Source organism: Homo sapiens, chromosome 9 (genome assembly GCF_000001405.40).
Source record: "Homo sapiens chromosome 9, GRCh38.p14 Primary Assembly".
In the NCBI taxonomy this organism is placed as follows: Eukaryota; Metazoa; Chordata; class Mammalia; order Primates; family Hominidae; genus Homo; species Homo sapiens.
This window is the reverse complement of record NC_000009.12, coordinates 37,260,737-37,280,569: the sequence shown is the minus strand read 5'-3', so window position 1 is coordinate 37,280,569 and position 19,833 is coordinate 37,260,737. Positions and strand designations below refer to the sequence as shown.

The 19,833-nt window shown below is 36.7% G+C and overlaps 1 protein-coding gene across 19 annotated transcripts in view; it reads right to left on the bottom strand.

The window, feature by feature from the left end:
- ZCCHC7 (zinc finger CCHC-type containing 7) overlaps positions 1–19,833 on the bottom strand; it is a 237,983-nt gene that overhangs the window by 77,580 nt on the left and 140,570 nt on the right. The gene's annotated exons all lie outside the window — the stretch shown is intronic.

The following is a 19,833-nucleotide window of genomic DNA, read 5'->3' as shown; positions in this document are numbered from 1 at the left end:
AGATTTTTTGTTATTGATTTCTAATTCTATTATGATCAAAGAACAAAGTCTAAGATTTCAATCTTTTGAAGCTTATTTTATGGTCCACCATATATATGGTCTATCTTGCTGAATGTATACTGGAAAAGAATGCATATTCTATAATTATTGGATTTTGTGTTCTATAAATGCCAATTATGTCAAGGTGGGTGGTATTACATACAGTATTACTCTGATCTTCTATGTCCTTACTGGTAGTTTTAATCTACTACTTCTGTCAATTATTGAGACAGGTATTCAAACTTCCAATTATGGTTGTGGACTTCTCTATGATGAGGAGATCCTTTAATCCCGTCAAATTTTGTTTTTATCTATTTTGAAGGTCTGATTCCAGTACCTTCGTTGTTTACTTGACCCTTTTATCTTTCTGAAACATCCCTTTTTTTTTTTGAGACGGAGTCTCGCACTGTTGCCCAGGCTAGAGTGCAGTAGTGGGATCTTAGCTCACTGCAAGCTCCGCCTCCCGGGTTCGCGCCATTCTCCTGCCTCAGCCTCCTAAGTAGTGCCTGACGCCAGGACCGGCTAATTTTTTGTATTTTTAGTAGAGACAGGGTTTCACTGTGTTAGCCAGGATGGCCTCGATCTCCTGACCTCGTGATCCGCCCGCCTCGGCCTCCCAAAGTGCTGGGATTACAGGCTTAAGCCACCGCACCCGGTGGGAAACATCCTTGTTTACCTCTGTTACTACTATTCCTAGTCTCAAAGTTTACTTACCTGATTAATATGACTACTCCAGCTTTCACATGCTTATTTTTAGCCTTTTAATTGGAGTGTTCTGTATATACACAATTCATGTAATTATGTTTTTCTAATATATATATATATATTTTAATTTATAGAGATAAGGTCTTGCTATGTTGCCTGGGCTTGTCTCAAACTCTTGGGCTTAAAGGATCCTCCTGCCTTGGCCTCCCAAAGTGCTAGGATTACAGGCATAAGCCACTGGACCTGGCCAGATGTAATTATCAATATGTCCACATTTAGATCTTTCAATTACTGCTTTTTATTACTCTGTCCGTCCTTTCGTCCTTTGGAGTAATTTAATATTTTTAAGATTCCAATATAATTTCTCTATTGCATTTTAGGTTTATGTCCTTATGTTTTTTTGTCTTTTTTTTTTAAGTGTCTGTTCTAAGAACTGAAATATACCTTTACATTTTCAGATATTAACATTTCAGAGTTAATATCATACAATTTATGAAAAATGTAAAAAACTTGTCACCAAATGATTCTATTTACCTGCCCATCCCAGTCCTTTCTGATATAGTTGCCATATGTATTATATCTACATATAAATCACCCAATGTTACTTTTTTTTTTTTGCTTTCAACATCATATACATTTGAAACAAATAAAGAGGATAAAATAAGACAAGTTTTCCCTTCATTCCTTTTTGAAAACAGGAGTTTGACTTGGTATATCATTTCCCTTCATCCCAAAGAATTTACTTCAGCATTTCTACTAGTGGAGGGTAGCTGGCAACAAATTCTTTCTCTTTTAAATTTAATTTTTTTAATAGAGACAGGGTTTCAGGCAGGTTGGTCTCAAAACTCCTGGCTTCAAGTGATCCACCTGCCGTGTGGCCTCCCAAAATGCTGGGATTACAGGTGTGAGCTACCGCATCTGGTCCTTTCTCACTTTTAAAATCTAAAATAATCTTCATGTGGCATTCATTCCTGTGGGATATTTCTGCCGGATGTAGAATTCTTGATTCCCAGCTTTCCCCAAAGCTCTCCTTCCCTAAGCACTTTAAAGATGGTGTTCTACTGCATTTGGCCTCCATTGTTTCTAATAAGTCAACTCTCAGTTTTATTATTATTCCTTTCTGTTACTATTTATAAGATTTTTATTGTTATCATTAGTTTTCATCAATTTGGCTATGAATCTCTTCAATATGTACAATTACATCTTTCACTAAATGTGGGGAATTCTCTCCCATTATCTCTTTAAATATATTTTTGGCCCCAGTTTCCTTCTCTTCTTCTGGGACTCCAATGACACATATTAGGTCTTAATATTGTTCAATGAGTCACTGGGGCACTGCTCTTTTGAATTTATTTTTAAAGTTTTCTTTCTGTTTTTCAGATTGAGTGATTTGGATCTTCAAGTTCACTGATATTTTCAATCTGTTATTAAGGTCACACAGTGAATTTTTATTACAGATATTACATTTTTCAGTTCTAAAATTTCCATTTAGTTCTCTTTTATAGTTTTATTTCTCCAGCAAGTTTCATATTTATTTTATTGTATGCCATTTTATATCCTTGAGCATAGTCATAACTAATAACAGCTTTAAAATCCTTGTCAGTCAGTTGTGTTGGCACCCACCTACAGTCCGAGCTACTTGGCAGGCTGAAGTGAAAGGACCACCAGAGTCTAGGAGCTCGAGGCTGCAGTGAGTTAAGATTATGCCTGTAAATGGTCACTGCACTCCAGCCTGGGTGACACAGTGAGACTCCTGCCTCAAAACAAAACAAAACAAAACAAAACAAAACACACACACACACACACACACAAACAAAAAAACTTTTTTTTTTTGATTTTCTAATTACTATATCTGGGTCATCCCATAGTGTCCCTTGGTTGCCTTTTCTTGAGTATACATCAAAGTTTCCAGTTTCTTTTTATTTATATCTGGTAATTTTGGATTGTATTCTACATCTTGTGAATGATACTTTTTAGAGGCTATGGATTCCATTATGTTCCTCTGAAGAATGTTCACGTTTTGTTCAAGGATCAAATATTTGACAATCATTTATATGCAGAACTTGGGATGTCCCTCTGAGAATTTCCCTTCACTTTCCAGGTGCTATAGTAGCCTCTATTTTCTGATTCCCCAAATCAGTAAGAATTGGGATTTCCGAGTTCTAATCACCCCCATGGTGTAGCCATTAGTAACTGCCCTCAAGCATAAAATACTAAAACTAAAGTCATCAAATGCTTTTTCTTTATTCTAAATGTTGACTTCCTGTGAGTTTCTGCCCACTTTGGTTTGGTCTCCAGTGCCTTCAGATAGTTTATTTTATTATTTTATTTTATTTATTTTATTTCAGAGATGGGGGGGTCTCACTATGTTGCCCAGGCTGGTCTTGAACTCCTGGCCTCAAGCAATCTTCCTGTCTGAACAGCCCTAAATGCTGGGATAATACGCATGAGCCATCCAGGTCTGGCCAGATTATGTTTTGAAGCATTAAAGTGTGCTTTCAATTATGTGTGTGTATATAAACATTTAGATTTTATGTACTAAATATTTATAGTATAAGCTTCATCCAGAGTAGAATTACCTGTGGGAAAATTGGTACATTATGAACAATTCCGCCATTACCAGTAGCAGAACTTTGAAATTTTTTGGCATGGTGTTATAATTAAAATCTTTTTTACAAAATCTTCCACTCTTCATTCTTAGCTCCATTCACACAAAGAATGAGTCTATACTTGGTGCATAGTAAGCATAGTAAGAGATGTCCTACAAATTATTGTTGAATGATGAAATATGGGAAAATGAAAATCATCAATAGGCACTAAATGTTCCTAGGAGAGAGAAGGTACTTTGGGCTGGAGTGATTAGCAATTTTTCACTATTTAATAAACCTTGTTTTCTCTTGGAGGCAAAGAGAACTACTCTTGGTTTAAAATATGATGCATGTAGAAGGGTTAGACTATTTTTTATTATCTCTTCTCATTTCCTGGATAAGATACTCCAGTCATGAGTTTTATTATACAAGGATCCCATATTCAGTGTAAATCCTCTACATCAGAGAAAATATTACATTTTAGTTCTCTGGGCAAATTAATTATGATTTACTATTTTAGGCAATCTTCTAAATTCCTAGGATAATTATATGAGATTCTAATTTCCAAAACATTCATTTGCAAATAGCTCATGAATACTACCCAATTTCCCAAAAGACAGTATGAAAATGAGCACCCTAAATGATGAGGAAGGCAATTAACATCTATTGAGGGACTGCTAGGTAAAAAGCTCTATAATAAGTGCTTTATCTTATTTAATCTTCTCAATTACCCAATGACATGGATATTATTACCACCTATTTACAGATAAGTAAACTGAAGCTCGAAGCTGGCCATGGTCACATAGTAGGTAAGTAATGATTGAGCATGAATTCAAATTTGATAACTTTTGACTACATTGAAATAAAGTACTTCTGTTCATCAAGAAACAAAATAAAACAAAAAAACACCATTAAGAGAGTGAAAAGGCAAGCCACAATGTGGAAGGAGATATCTGTCCAACATATAAAGAACGCATGTCTAGAATACATAAATAACCCCTTCAAGTTATTAAGCCAAAGAAGTAGAAACTCCAGCACGACTTAAATAGGTCATTCACAAAAGAGGATATCTAAGTGATCAATAAACACATGAAAGGTATTTGACTTCATTTAGTCATCTGGTAAATGCATACTAAAGCCAAAATAAAATACTACTATCCCCCTACCAAAACAGAATTAAGAATACTAACAATATCATGTGTTCGCAAGGATGCAGACAATGGGAACTCTCATACATTGTTGGTTATAATGTAAATTGATAAAACTACTTTGAAAAAAGAGTTTGCCAGCTGGGCACAGTGGCTCACGCCTGTAATCCCAGCACTTTGGGAGGCTGAGGCAGGCGGATCACCTGAGGTCAGGAGTTCAAGACCAGCTTTGGCCAACATGGTGAAACTCCGTGTCTACTAAAAATAAAAATAAAAAAAATTAGCCAGGCATGGTGGTGGGTGCCTGTAATCTCAGCTACTTGGGACGCTGAGACAGGAGAATCGCTTGAACCTGGGAGGCGGAGGTTACAGTGAGCTGAGATCACGCCATTGCAATCCAGCCTGGGTGACAAGAGTGAAACTCCGTTTCAAAAAACAAAAAAAGAAAAGAAAAAAGAGTCTGCCATTCCATGTTAAAGTGGAAGATAAACATACCATAGGGAAAAACAATTCTACTCCTACATGTATTACCTGAAATTAACCCAAAACATGCATATTAAGAGAAACACTGGTTAACAATAGCCAAAATGCTCACTTAGAGCAGAGTGAATAAACTCTGGTATAGTCACAAAATAAAATATCCCACATCAACTAAAAAACAAAAAAATGAACCACAGCTTTATAATGTTTTATTAAGGAAGCCTGATGTATACAAAATTATATCTCCTGGATGCATCCATGAATATAAAGCTCAAAAAAAAAAAAAAAAAAGGAAAACTAGACAATATAGATTAGGAGAAGTTATCAGTGACAAAACTACAAAGAAAATCAAGGAAGTACTGCCACAAAAGTCAGGATAAGGCCCAACTGTTGGGAGAAGGAGAAGGTTACTGCAAGGGTGCAACATCCTGAGAGCATGGGTTTCACTATGCTGGTAATATCTTGTATTTTGAGTATGTGATGATTACATGAATTGTTGCTATGTAACTATTTATCAAAGTAAATGTTAAATTTGAGAAGAACATGCTAGAAAGACTTGCCAGGCAGATATCAATAATTAGTATAAAGCTCTAATTTTTAAGACAGTGTGATCTAAGTACATGAACAGTCAATCACGTAGCCCAACGACCTGCATGCATAAACTTGATACACCATATAGGTGTCACTATAAACAAAGGAAACAATTTATTCAATAAATGGTGCTGGGACAATGGGATAAAACAAAATTGGTATTCATCTCTCACTATATAAAAAAAAAACAAAGTAGATTACATTCCTAAATATGGAAAGCAAGATTTTAACAATCATATGAGAAAATACAGCAAATATTTTTAAAACTCAGATATGGGAAAGAATTTAAAAGATACAGACCATAAAGGAAAAGATTGAGTAAATAACTACATTAACATTAAAAACTTTTAAACAGGAAGAGGAACCATTAAGAAATTAGAGGCTGGGCATGGTGGCTCATGCCTGTAATCCCAACACTTTGGGAGGCTGAGGCAGGCAGATCACTTGAGGTCAGGAGTTCAAGACCAGCCTGGCCAACATAGTGAAACCCCATCTCTACTAAATTACAAAAATTAGCCGGGCATGGTGGCACGCACCTGTGACTCCAGCTACTTAGGAGGCTGAGGCAGGAGAATCACTTAAACCTGGGAGGTGGAGGCTGCAGTGGGCCAAGATCACACCACTGTGCTCCTGCCTGAGCAACAGAGCAAGACTCCATCTCAAAAAAAAAAAAAAAAAAAAAAAAAAGAAATTAGATATGGTAATTTTCATAAAATTATATCACTATACACTCATGAAAGCCAAGCATAATATATGTGCTCTAATCTCAAATGGTTCAGAATTGTGTGTATATGCATATTCAAATATACACATACATATACATGAAGAGTGAGCAAGCACACAAATGATTATAAAGCTAATGGAGTAAAATGTAAATAATAAGTGACTGGATAAAGGCTACACAGGTATGCCAATTTCTCATTTGTCCTGATGAAAAATGCACTGGCAGCAAGCTGTATTTGTTTTTTTCTAAACAGAAAATGGGTTAAGAGTACCATTTTTATTTTTGCAACTTTTTAAAATTTGAAATTATTTCCAATAAAAAGTGTTCTGGTTTTTTAGAAGACATCACTAAGAAAACTTAAAGGACAAGCCACAGGTTGGGAGGAAATATTGGTAATGCATATGACCAACAAAGTGTTCATATCTGGAACATATAAAAAAAATTCCCACATATCTCTGAGAAAAAAAACACATAGGGAATATGGGCAAAAAATATGAACAGGCAATCAACAGAAAAATATGCAAGATTCAATAAACATTTGAAACTGTGTTCAGCCTGACTAGTAATCAGAGAAACAGCAATATAAATAGTGAGATATGAATGCAAAACAAAATTTTAACACCACCAAATATTGACCAGGAGGTAAGAATTCATATAATAATTCCTGCAGGATACTTTGCCAAGTCCAGTACAGTTGATGATTACCCTTGCTGAGGAGATCTAATAATTCTACTCCAAGCTATACACTCTAAGAGTAGGTGTCAGGACACCCTTTCTTTTTCTTTTCTTTTCGAGACGGAGTCTCGCTCTGTTGCCCAGGCTGGAGTGCAGTGGCGCGATCTCAGCTCACTGCAAGCTCCACCTCCCAGGTTCACGCCATTCTCCTGCCTCGGCCTCCTGAGTAGCTGGGACTACAGGCACCCGCCACCATGCCTGGCTAATTTTTTGTATTTTTAGTAGAGACAGGGTTTCACTGTGTTAGCCAGGATGGTCTCAATCTCCTGACCTTGTGATCTGCCCACCTCGGCCTCCCAAAGTGCTGGGATTACAGGTGTGAGCCACCGCGCCCAGCCAGGACACTTTTTCTTAAAGGGCCATGTAGTAAATATTTTAGGCTTGTGTGCCATAATGTCTCTGTTGCCAACTACACAACTCTACCATTATGGGCCGAAAACAGCCACAGACAATATATACACAAATGAGAATAACTGTTTAAAAGTTTTATTTATAAAAACAGAGGCAGTTGGCCTGTGGGCCAGTTTGCCAACCCCTGCTCTACTGAAACTCTCATATACATGCACCAAGAGATATGCACAAGAATATCCTTAGCAGCTTTGTTTATAACTGCAAAAAACTTCCAAAAATTTAAATGTCCATCAGTAAGAGAACGAATACATTGGTGGTGCAATCATACAATAGAATACTATACAGTAGTTAAAAAAGGAATGAATTACAGCTACACATATCAGTATAAAGGAAACCCTATGGGATGCAGAGTGCAGATAAGTTTAGAAGAATACGTACGGAATAGTGCTAATTAAGTCTGCAAATGTGCAAAATAATATTATACATACATGAATATACAGTAAAAGTATGAAGAACACGAGAGGGAAGACAAACTATACCGTTAAGAGAAGAGAAAAAATAAAAAGCAAAGAAGTGATTGATTTCCATAAATATTAGGGTGATGAATATTCACATATATATGAAAGAGGGGAGGAATGAAGTATGTGGTGGAGAAGGGATGTGCGTCAGCAGTACTGCCCAGGTCCTTTCTTTCTTTTTTTTTTTTTTTTTTTTTTTACCACACAGCTTTGAAACATGTAAAGGGTCCTATTTCTTGACCCGGGTGATGGTTACATAGGTGTTCAATTTATAATTTTTCTTACACGTTTTATGTATGTATTTTATACCAATTCCCCAACTCATAGGAATAATAAACATTAAATTCAACACACTTTACAGGGTAAGAGAAAGTTAACGTGAATGAGAAAAGATTAAAGAGCCAATTTATTGGCTACACAAAAAGATAAATCCCATTTACTGGTCAAATCACCAGGCCCAGCAGATATTTATGAAAGTAAAGGGATTATTCATGGAAATAAACTTTAATATTTCTGTTTCTTCTCCAGATCTTCTGATACAAAAAGGTATAGTAGATAAAATCATTAATGACACTTCCCCTCTGTATAATGTCTGTGTGTGTTCTTACTCATTCACTATTTTGGAAAACTTCAAACATATGAAAGTTGAAAAAATAGTATAATAAACTCCCAAAGTTCCAGCTTTAACAATTCTTAATTCACAGCCAATCTTATTTCATCTGTATCCCTACCCACTTACCCTTGTCCTCTACTGAACTATTGTTAAGCAAAACATTTTATCTGCAAAAATTTCAGCATGCTATGTCTAAAAGATAAATAATGGCCGGGCGCAGTGACTCACGCATATAATCCCAGCAATTTGGGAGGCTGAGGCGGGCAGATCACTTGGGGTCAGGAGTTTGAGACCAGCCTGGCCAACATGGTGAAACCTCGACTCTCCTAAAAATACAAAAATTAGCCAGGCATGTTGGCGCACCCCCACAGTCCCAGCTACTCAGGAGGCTGAGACATGAGAATTGCTTGAACCTGGAGGGCGGAGGTTGCAGTGAGCCGAGATTGTGCCACTGCACTCTAGCCTGGGCAACAGTGCAAGACTATGTCTCAACAAACAAACAAACAAATGATAAATAAGGACTCTTTTAAATGTAACCATAATACAATATCATATATTTAAAAACCAACAATAACTAATCAGATGTTCATCAGTGTTCAAATTTCTATAATTACCTGATAAATATATATGCTTTATAAGATCCCAAAAAGGTCCATTGTAATAAACTAAGTCCCTGAATCTGTAGTTTCCCCCTTCCATATTTCTTCCCTTCAGTCCACCTCCCTCTTTTCCATGCAATTATTTGTTAAAGAAATGAAGTGATATCCTGTAGAGTTTAACACATTCTGGATTTTGCTGATTGTATTTTCATGAGATAGTCTTTATATTTCCTATAAACTTGTAGTTGGATCTAGAAGCCTGATTATATGTAGATTAGATCATTTTTTAAATTTTGGAAAGAATACTTCTAGGTAAGCACTGTGTTCTCTGAAGTGGCACAATGTCAGGTGTCTCTTTTTGTCAAATAAGCAGCCATCGATAATTCTTTAAATCCATTATTTCATTAGGAGTTGCAAAATGTGGTGTTCAAACTATTCCTTTTTCATTTGTTGGCACCAATACTTCTCTCTAAAGGAAAACCTCCCCCTCATTCGGGTAACCAAACATTCTTTTTTTAGGTACCCTGAGGTAGAGTTCATATAATTGACACTATATATCAAGGGTTTCTTTTAAGAATTTGAGTTATACAGAAAGAGTCATCTCTGTTTCTTCAGAATGAACAGAAATGAAAGTAATGGCTCCTCCTCTTCTACTACTATTTTTTTTTTTTATTATTGCTGGAAACTACTTTCAATGATGGCCTCTTTAAAGAGGAGATTGTGGGAAAAGAAAAATTCTTATTTTGAAACATTAAAATTCCCTAGGAGGTCTTTTTCTTTTCTTTTTTTTTTTTTTGAGACAAAGTTTCGCTCTTGTTGCCCAGGCTGGAGTGCAGTGACGCGATCTTGGCTCACTGCAACCTCCACCTCCCAGGTTCAAGCGATTCTCCTGCCTCAGCCTCCCAAGTAGTTGGGATTACAGAAATGTGCCCAGCTAATTTTGTATTTTTAGTAGAGACAGGGTTTCACCATGTTGGCCAGGCTGGTTTTGAACCCCGGACTTCAGGTGATCCACCTGCCTCAGCCTCCCAAAGTGCTGTGATTACAGGCATGAGCCACCGCGCCCAGCCTCCTAGGAGGTCTTTTCAATGCTAAGACTTTATGTGTATGTAGTGTATCTGAGTCTTTTCACACGAAAATGCCAAGAACTTGACTCTGATAATATGTAGACATTCAGTATTGGGATATCTCAAGGCCCAATCCTAAGCTTGCTTTTCTATACCAGCACTGCCCAACAGAAATGTAATGCAAGCCACTAATGTGAGATTGGTAATTTTAAATTTTCTAGTAGTCACGTTAAACAAGTAAAATTAATTTTAATAATATATTTTATGTAGCACAATATAGCTAAAATATTTTAACATGTAATCAATGTAAAATATTATTAATAACATGCTTTACAGCCTTTTTTCAGTCTTTAGACTATAACACATCTCAATTCAGACCAGATACACACATAGCTAATGGCTACCAAATAAAACAACAAAGCCCTCTATTTTCCTCAGATAACTGAAACCCTAAGTTAGCCTGCCTATCTATGCTTGTGATTCACAGATATAAAACTCTTGACCTGACCACTCAAATTCAACTGGCCTAGGTGCCTCAAATGCACTTCCTAAAACTGGTCCCTTCTGAGTATTTCCTTAGCATACGCAGGGCACAATCAGAAATCTAGGAGTTGTTTTTCTCTTCCTCATCTCCCATAAATAGTTCCATACCAAGTTCTGTTGATTTTACTTTAAAAAATTATAATTCAGTTATAATCTTTCTTCACTGTCACCTCACTAACCTAAGATAACAACATTATCATATCATGCCTAGAACTTCTTTTGTTTTTTTTTTTTTTTTTTTTTTTTTTTTGAGACAGAGTCTCACTCTGTTGCTCAGGTTGGAATGCAGTGGTACAATCATGGCTTACTGCAGTCTCGATCTCCCCAGTTCAAGCGATCCTCCTGCCTCAGCCTCCCTGGTAGCTGGGACTATAGGCACGCACTGCAACACTCAGTTAATTTTTAAAATTTTTAGTAGAGATGAGATCTCACTACGTTGCCCAGGCTAAACTCCTGGGCTCAAGTGATCCTCCTGCCTCAGCCTCCCAGTAGCCTCTTAACTGGTATTTCTGCAGGTACTACAGGCCCTCTCACCATTCTCTTTTCTGAAGCATAGCTATCTTTTAACAATGGAAATCTGCTCCTATAACCCCTGCTTCATATACTTCATTAGCAACTGCTCTAAAAATAACGTTCAAAACCTTAACATGGCCTACAATGCCTGAAATTTCTGATCTTTACTTACTCTTCCAGCCTCATCTTGCCCTACATGCTCTCTCTCACACTCTTTCAAGCCACAATGGCCTACCTTCAGGACAGCAAGCAAATAATTCATCCCTTCTAGTAGATAGGGTGCACATGTTATTTCCTTGGATCAAAACACTCTTTGCCTCACCATTTCGACTAGTTAATTCTTTTGGATTTCAGCTTAAACGTCACCATAAAAGCCTTCCTTGGCCTCCATACTACGTTAGAATATTATACACTCTCATACTACTGTTTTATCTTTCCCTTATAGCAGTCTGGGTCACTTCTTATCCCTAACATAGCATACAGTAGTATTCAATACATTTGTTGAAAGACCACATGAATAGAGTAGTGAAGGTGATGGCACCCTATTCAGAATTAAATGCCAGAATTGACAACAATAAAGTTTCACAGCTGAGAACAGCATTAGCCCCTCGGAAAGAGTAGAAATTTTGCGGCCGGGCGCGGTGGCTCACGCCTGTAATCCCAGCACTTTGGGAGGCCGAGGTGGGCGGATCACAAGTTCAGGAGATCGAGACCATCCTGGCTAACACGGTGAAACCCCGTCTCTACTAAAAATACAAAAAATTAGCTGGGCATGGTGGCGGGCGCCTGTAGTCCCAGCTACTTGGGAGGCTGAGGCAGGAGAATGGTGTGAACTTGGGATGTGGAGCTTGAAGTGAGCCCAGATCGCGCCACTGCACTCCAGCCTGGGCAACAGAGCGAGACTCTGTCTCAAAAAAAAAAATAGAAATTTTGCTTATTTTTTTTTTTTTCTGTGAGGACAGGGCTCAAGAGTACATTCATGACTTTTGAAGTTTACTACTTTGTTTCTTTGCAAATAAACACCTGATAGGTCTGGAACTTCTGCAAACCTTATTGGCCAGGTAGAGAAATCTGGTAGTGAGTAAAATCTAATTATCTTATAATAGTAGTTGGTTTTGAGAGCACATTAGAGATACCAAGAGCTTTCACAAAAAATTCACACAGAATTTGTTTTGTATTAGGCTCTGTGTTAAGCACTGTGGGGAACAAAAAATCTGAAACACAGTCCCTGCTCTGAGGAACTTCCAATCAAGTTAGTGATGGTACTTGAATGGCATTATAAGAAATGCTAATAGGGCTTAGAGAAAGAGAATCTTGGGTTGATGTGATCACAGAGGAAATCTTCAACTTCAAGAAAATGCAGGCTGGGCCCAATGGCTCACACCTGTAATCTCAGGTCAAGGTGAGAGGATCCCTCGAGCCCAGGAGTTCAAGACCAGGCTGGGCAACATGGTGCGACCCTGTCTCTATAAAAAATGAAAAAATTAGGCCGGGCGCGGTGGCTCACGCCTGTAATCTCAGCACTCTGGGAGGCCGAGGCGGGTGGATCACAAGGTCAGGAGATCGAGACCATCCTGGCTAACACGGTGAAACCCCATCTCTACTAAAAATACAAAAAATTAGCCAGGCGTGGTGGCAGGCACCTGTAGTCCCAGCTACTCGGGAGGCTGAGGCAGGAGACTGGCGTGAAGCTGGGAGGCGGAGCTTGCAGTGAGCCGAGATCATGCCACGGCACTCCAGCCTGGGTGACAGAGCGAGACTCTGTCTCAAAAAAAAAAAAAAAAAAAAAGAAAAAATTAGCCGTGCATGGTAGTCCCAGCTACCCAGGAGGCTGAGGTGGGAGGATCACTTGAGCTTGGGAGGTCGAGGTCGAGGCTGAAGTGAGCTGTGATCATGCCACTTCATTCCAGGCTAAGAGACAGAGCAAGGCCCTGTTCTTCTCCCCTGTCTCCCCCCCACCACCAAATGGGAGACAGAGATGCAATTTCATTAATAGAAATCATAAATATAAAAAGAGAAGAACACTTTCAGCAAGAGGGAATGCTAAATACAAGCGACAGAGAATTCTGTTCTAGGGCTGAGTATACTGTTTTGGCTAGTAAACTAAGAAGATTCATCTCACCTTAATCCTTAGTTCTGTCTCTAAGGATCAAAACAGGTCATCAGAATAGAGAATCAAAGACTTTTTATATTATACTAATTATCTTAGCCAAGAAATGATGAGGATTAATAAACTTTGCAACCCATCTTCCAAAGCCTTTGAAACTGGGCCTGAATGGATAAATTAATTGTACAGGCATATCCCACAGACTGTATTCCGGATAGTATACCTCTCTCTCTCTCAATATAACATTTTTTTGACCATTTATACAGAAAAACTTAAATTTATTTCCCAAAAATTCAGTATGCATGGGAAAAGTCTCAAGTTATCTTCCAAATAACACTGGTATAACATATACATCACTGTTAGACTTTGTTTTTTGAGACAGAGTCTTGCTCCATTGCCCAGGCTGGAGTGCAGTGATGCAATCATTGCTCACTACAGCCTTGATCATCCCGGCTCAAGCTATCCTCCAACCTTAGCCCCCCAAGTAGCTAAGATTACAGGTGTGTACCACTATACCTGGTTAATTTTTCTGTTTTTTGTAGAGATGGAGTCTTGCTATATTGCCTAGGCTGGTCTCAAACTCCTGGGCTCAGGTGATCCTCCCACCTCAGCCTCCCAAAGTACTGGGATTACAAGCATGAGCCACCATGCCAAGCTGGTAGACATTTTTAAAACTGAGTCTAGTGCCAACATGCTTAGCATCATAAAGAGACAATTAAAAATTAATAACAGGAGTGTAAAGCTCTATTTTTATATATTTTTAAAGCTGTATTTTAAAATGTTTTACCCTAAAGCATTAACTACTTTCCCTGATGATTTATCAAATCCTGTCAAGAACTTTATAGCTCTTTACACATCCCTAAATTTAAAAAAACAAATAAATTTACAGTTGTACTATGAGCTCCTCTGAGTTTCATAGTTTTGTCTGTAATAGTTCATTCTTCCTTTGCCCATTTTGGCCATACCATCATTTCTTGATACCTAAGTGGCATGGTGTGCAGAATCTTCTTTAATATGGTAACTAAACTTTACATATTAAGCATTTGCATTTGGGAAGGTCATTCTGTTTTTTTGGATGAACTATATAAATGAAGTAGGTTAAATCATTTTAGTTTAAAAAAGGAATTAAAGTGTTGTTTTTACCATATTGATACAGTAAATACAGTTCCTACTCTTTTCTTTCTATGTCTGACCTTAAAGAAGAAGTAGAAGTGGCATTATGCTAAGATCTTGAGGAAGAAGTAGGAATTCAACATGCAGGGATTTGGGGAGGGGATGAAGGAAGAGAAGATGGGTATCACAAAGACAGAGACTGATTTGAGGATGAGAAAAGAGGTAGTGAAGTATCAAAGCCTGAACCATCCAGTTTGGCTCATGTGAAGGAGTGCTATGGCATACAGCCTGAAAAAAACAGACTAGGGCCAACACTGAGGGGTGTCAATTCTAGGCTAAACACACTATCCTCAATTTTAAAGGCAATAGGATACCTTTGAAAAAGGAAAATGGTCGCTGGAAAACAGAAAGCCATGATGAGACCTCTATTTTAGGAAGATCAGTCCAACAGCAATATGGAAGAAATTTAGAGAAGCAACGAGATGACAGATTATGTTTTGGTAAGAGATAAGGGTTTCAACTACAGTGGTAGCATGAGGACAGAAAAAGATGCAAATACTACTTAAGTAGAACAAACAGTATTTGGCCACTTTCAGAGAAACATAAACAAGACTTGGATAATATAATTTCAATCAAAACAAGCTAAAATCAGAAACTATTAAATAAAAACATGGCTAGAAACAAGTTGGTTGAACTGGATTGGGGATGGGAGGAATGACGAACTTTCTTTCGTGATCTCTGACAGTGTCTCCAATTCGCTGATCCTAGGAAGTAAGAAAGAATCCCTTTACTAGGAATCCTAGGATCCTAGGAAGTAAAGAATACCTTTCATCCTGTAAGGTATTTAAACTGGAACGTGATTTAAACTGGAACGTCTACTTACTTTTATTTAAACTGAAAGCATGAAAAAGGAGAAGGCAAATGTAAAAGGATTCATTCCCATAATGTAAAAAATGAATCATGTGCTTCTTGATCCTGTCTGCTGAAAGATTCCTTTCTCAAAGAGTATTACCTAGGGAAGAGATTCATAATTGCTAAATGGATAGATGTAGTTCTTAACCAGGAGGAAGAACATCTGTTTTCTCTCCTGATGGGATACAGGTTTCCTAGGCTACAAAATTTATCATCTACCCTACACTGCCACACACATACATAAATTCAGAAATACAGACTGAAATGCAAGAACACATAGATAAAAGCTTGTTTTTTCACAAGCTAACTCCTAAACATTAGAAGGGCCTGCTCTTACACTTCAAACATATAGCTTTTAACAACTCATTTTACAGGAAATTTTTACTTCTCTGATGAGAGTTCAGGTTTAACTGCTATGGAGAGGACTAGAGAAAACAGCATACAGAAGGTTGCCTAAGCAATATAAAGTGAGGCATATAAAAAGATCTGGTTACTGCTTGTAATTTATGGTGCTAGCTCTGTACTTAGGAGGAAATATATCCAAAACCAATTATGTATCAAGAAAACTCGTAAAATAAAATAATATATTAAATGCCTACTTTTCTAGTCCTCTGCAATCTGAAGTTAAGTTAGGAAGCCACAATTTAATGAGGCAACAAATATTTAACTATTTAAATTCTGCTGTGGTGTGTTCACAATACACAATAAAAAAGGCAGTGGGATACATAAAAGTTACACAATTCTCTGCCCTCCACAAAAAAAAAGACTATTTAAAATATCTTCATCAGTACACAGGTTTGATACATTAATGTAATTGGTTGATTATGAGAAGAAAAATCAAGTATTCCATTAAGTCTGGTTTAACAGACACTGTAATACCTTTTTCCGTTTTGGGAATGTCATATATTTTTAAAAAATTAAACGCATTTTATTTTATAAGTACTATTTACATTTGTATGCCATTTATTGGCTTACAAAATGCATTTTAATATTCTTATTAATGTTTAATTTTCACAAGCATCCATTGTAGGAATATTACCTCCACATTATAAAGGAGAAGTGGGCAAGTCTGTCACACAACTAGTAAATGACAGCAAGGATTCAAAATCAGGTCTTGAAAGGTTTAAACAATCTCAACACCAAAGACAAGCAAAGAGATAGTATTAGTTTAAGATCTTAGAAATGTAATGCATATATCAAATTAAAGACTCTTGGGCACTCGTTTATCCATGATCACCAAGTTCAGGAAAGGTCTTGGCTGGAGGAAGAAGTGGCACACGCCCTGACCTTGTTGTAAATAACTTCTTTCTACAATTTGGATGTGATTTTCATGTTTTCTACGTTTAGAAGTTACTCTTAATAATTTGCTTCATAAGTAATTTTAAAGTATTGATTAGGGTTTTAAAATCTATCAAAACTGAATTGATTGGCTGGGTTTTCTGTCTTAACTTGAAAAAGGAAAAGAAATTCTAGCTAACTCAAGAAGAAATTTCCATGTATCCAAAACTTTGCACCCCTTCTGCAAACGTATGTGTGTAGTGTACAATGAAATTTGCCACGTGAAAAATAATTACATAAAATTGTCTAAAAGGTAAAATGACTAATAAATGAAAAGGCCTGATGTCTTCTAGTCTTTTGTTCTTAACTGTAGGATTTTAAAGAGGATATGCAATATTAGTATGCTTCCTTAGTAAATAATGAGTTATACTGAGTTACTACAATATATATGAACTTTAGAAACAACATGTCATAAAAAGTTTTCTAGGAATCTTAATAGAAATAGCAACTAGTAGCAAGGTACAAATATAAATGGGAAATACGATAAAAACCACAGGTTTTTTTTTCATTCCTTCCATTTTAAAAATACAAAATATAAGGGTATATAGAAAATGTAAGAGTATATACAAAATATAAGGTATATAATAGGAAAAGGCTGGGATAAACTGCTACTTTCAACAAGAAAGTAAGATTCTAAAATTCTGGTATTAAAGTTTTGTTAAGCACCATAACTGATGCGAATCCCATAGGTCCCCAAGTCTAGAGTCTAAAATAAGGATGGGCTTATAAGAAATAGGAATTGAAGAATAGAGAATTAAAAAAATAAAAACATAAGCACTGGTTTTAAGAAGAATCACCAGTAAACTCATGTACAACATGAATTATTAACAGTAGAGAAAATCTGATGCTCATTTTTAAGAAAATATGTAACAAAAAATCTTCTATGAAAAGAACATCTTGGGTAATCCACTTATTTAAGACAGTTCTGAAAATCTCTTTTTCCCAAAGTGGATAGACAAACTAAGAAACATCTTCTAAGTAAATCTCAAGAATTTAGTAAACAAGGGTGGCACAAAATTTGTCCATTAAGACTGAAGTAATGGGGCAAAAATCTCAGGTGGATAGAATGCCTACAAGAACGTGGGAGAAAAAAGATGACCCATCTTTTCTGTCAACAATGTCTTTTAAGACATGAAAAGTAAGGAGCTACAGCAGAGCTTTATACTACAGTGTCACAAAATAATGTTAAGATCAAAGATGATTAAAACATCCATTTATTTGGCAAAATGTATGATTTTCCCTGGTATCCACCGGGAGTTCTGGAAGGCATAGATGACCAGGAGAGGGCAGCTCACCACTGCAGCTGTGAGTAAACTGTGAAGACGCGAATCCCTTTCTTTGCAAACAAGGGGACACTATACTTGTATATTTCCCATAGTCAACTAATAAAGAAGATACTGCCATTAAGAAATCAAAACCACACATGAAGTATAATAGTATAAGTTATTGCAACAAGTAACTAGTAAGAAAAATTATTGATAAGTAAATTAGAGTTCATAAAACAAGATGATGCTAAAGTTCCTGCCCCCTCAGATAAACTGAATATATAGCTAGCAACTATAGTCATTATGACTATGTTTACTATCTTTTTATACTTCAGTGTACTTTCTGTAAATAACTACTTTCTTAGAGTTTATCTAAAAAAATCTCTTTACCAAAAAAAAAAAAATCACCTTTTTCTACCAACCAAGTTCAAAATTCGGCACACTTTCTCTTGGATCATGTGTAACTCTGAAATATGTTCTACTTATGATCTGTATGTTGCTAGCAAAAACATACAGATTGCTATTGTCAACCACAATCCAATGGAGCTGCTTTGTTATCATCAAAAGTATAAAAATGGGAACTTTTCTACAATGAGGAGACTCTAGACTGACATAATTTCTTCCTTATAGGCTGAAATCTTTCACGCAATGAGTGTGCGGATAAAACAATTTAAGCACCCAGAATCATAGTTCTCATTTACTAAGACCTCTGGTTCCTATTAACACAAGACTCAGAAGACAAATTACTAGATTACAAATCTCAAAATTTATTTTCATCAGTATATTACTTGCTGCTTAGATGTTTACCTTGACTAAAATTAGGAGAAAAAAACTGAAAAAGAACAAAAGCAATACTGATTACATAAATGGTTAAAAGGTAATTGCTTAATTACGGAATTTCACTTCCTTGTGAGTTTTTCATTTGAAGTTTAAAGTAGTACTTCCAAGCCTTTTTCATGTCACAGTGTTCAAGGAAAGGTGTTTATAGAGCACATTAGGGCAAATGGAGCAGGGCACCTTCAGACAACTGACCCAGAAGCTCCTGCCAGGCCACCCTGAGAACACAAGGAATCAGTATCTTGCTCACCACAACTTATTTTTGCAATAGATGTGGCACATCAGTTAGGAAGTGATAATGTAAATATCTTTGGCCAAGGTTAAGAGGATAAGAGGAGGATCAAACAGTAACTCCAATTCTAGTTCATTGAAGACAGCATTTTACAGCATAGAAATGCTGTGGGAAGCAAAGAAGTGGCTGAGTGCAATCTGGGGTCTGTGTGTTGACTTTGACGTCTTTACCTTTCATATACATTGCTTGTTTCAACTCTTGTCCATTTTACAGAGGACAAAAGACATTTAGTTAGAGAAACTTCCTCTAAAAAAAATCTGTTGACGTCTTAAAGAAGAAAAAAATGACAAATGAGGCTATGAGACATTTTTCTTGATTTTCTTCTTTAAAAATGTCTCTCACATAGGTACAAGATTACAAGATTAAGGGGGACATATATGGTATCAACAACCACCAAAACTCTGGTTATCGGCATTGATAAACAGTAGGCCATCCATATCAAGCAGCCAGTGGTGAGAGCTAAATAATAATCTATGATCCCTTTCCTTCAACCAAAAAACAAACGAACAAACAAAAAAAGATCAGAAATAATAAAAATCCAAGTGGTAATTAAAAGAAAGATATAGAATAAAACACAGCAAACTAAATCAACAAGAGTATTTTGATAGAGCAGTTTGTCTGAACTCCATTTCAAAAGCCTTCCTCTTAGAACCCCAGTCAGATTCAATAGCTACAGTCCTGGCTGCCAGGGAGTTCAGCTTCCATAAGGCTCCTAGAGGAGTATCAAGTCTTACTAAGAAGGTAGCATGTTTTAA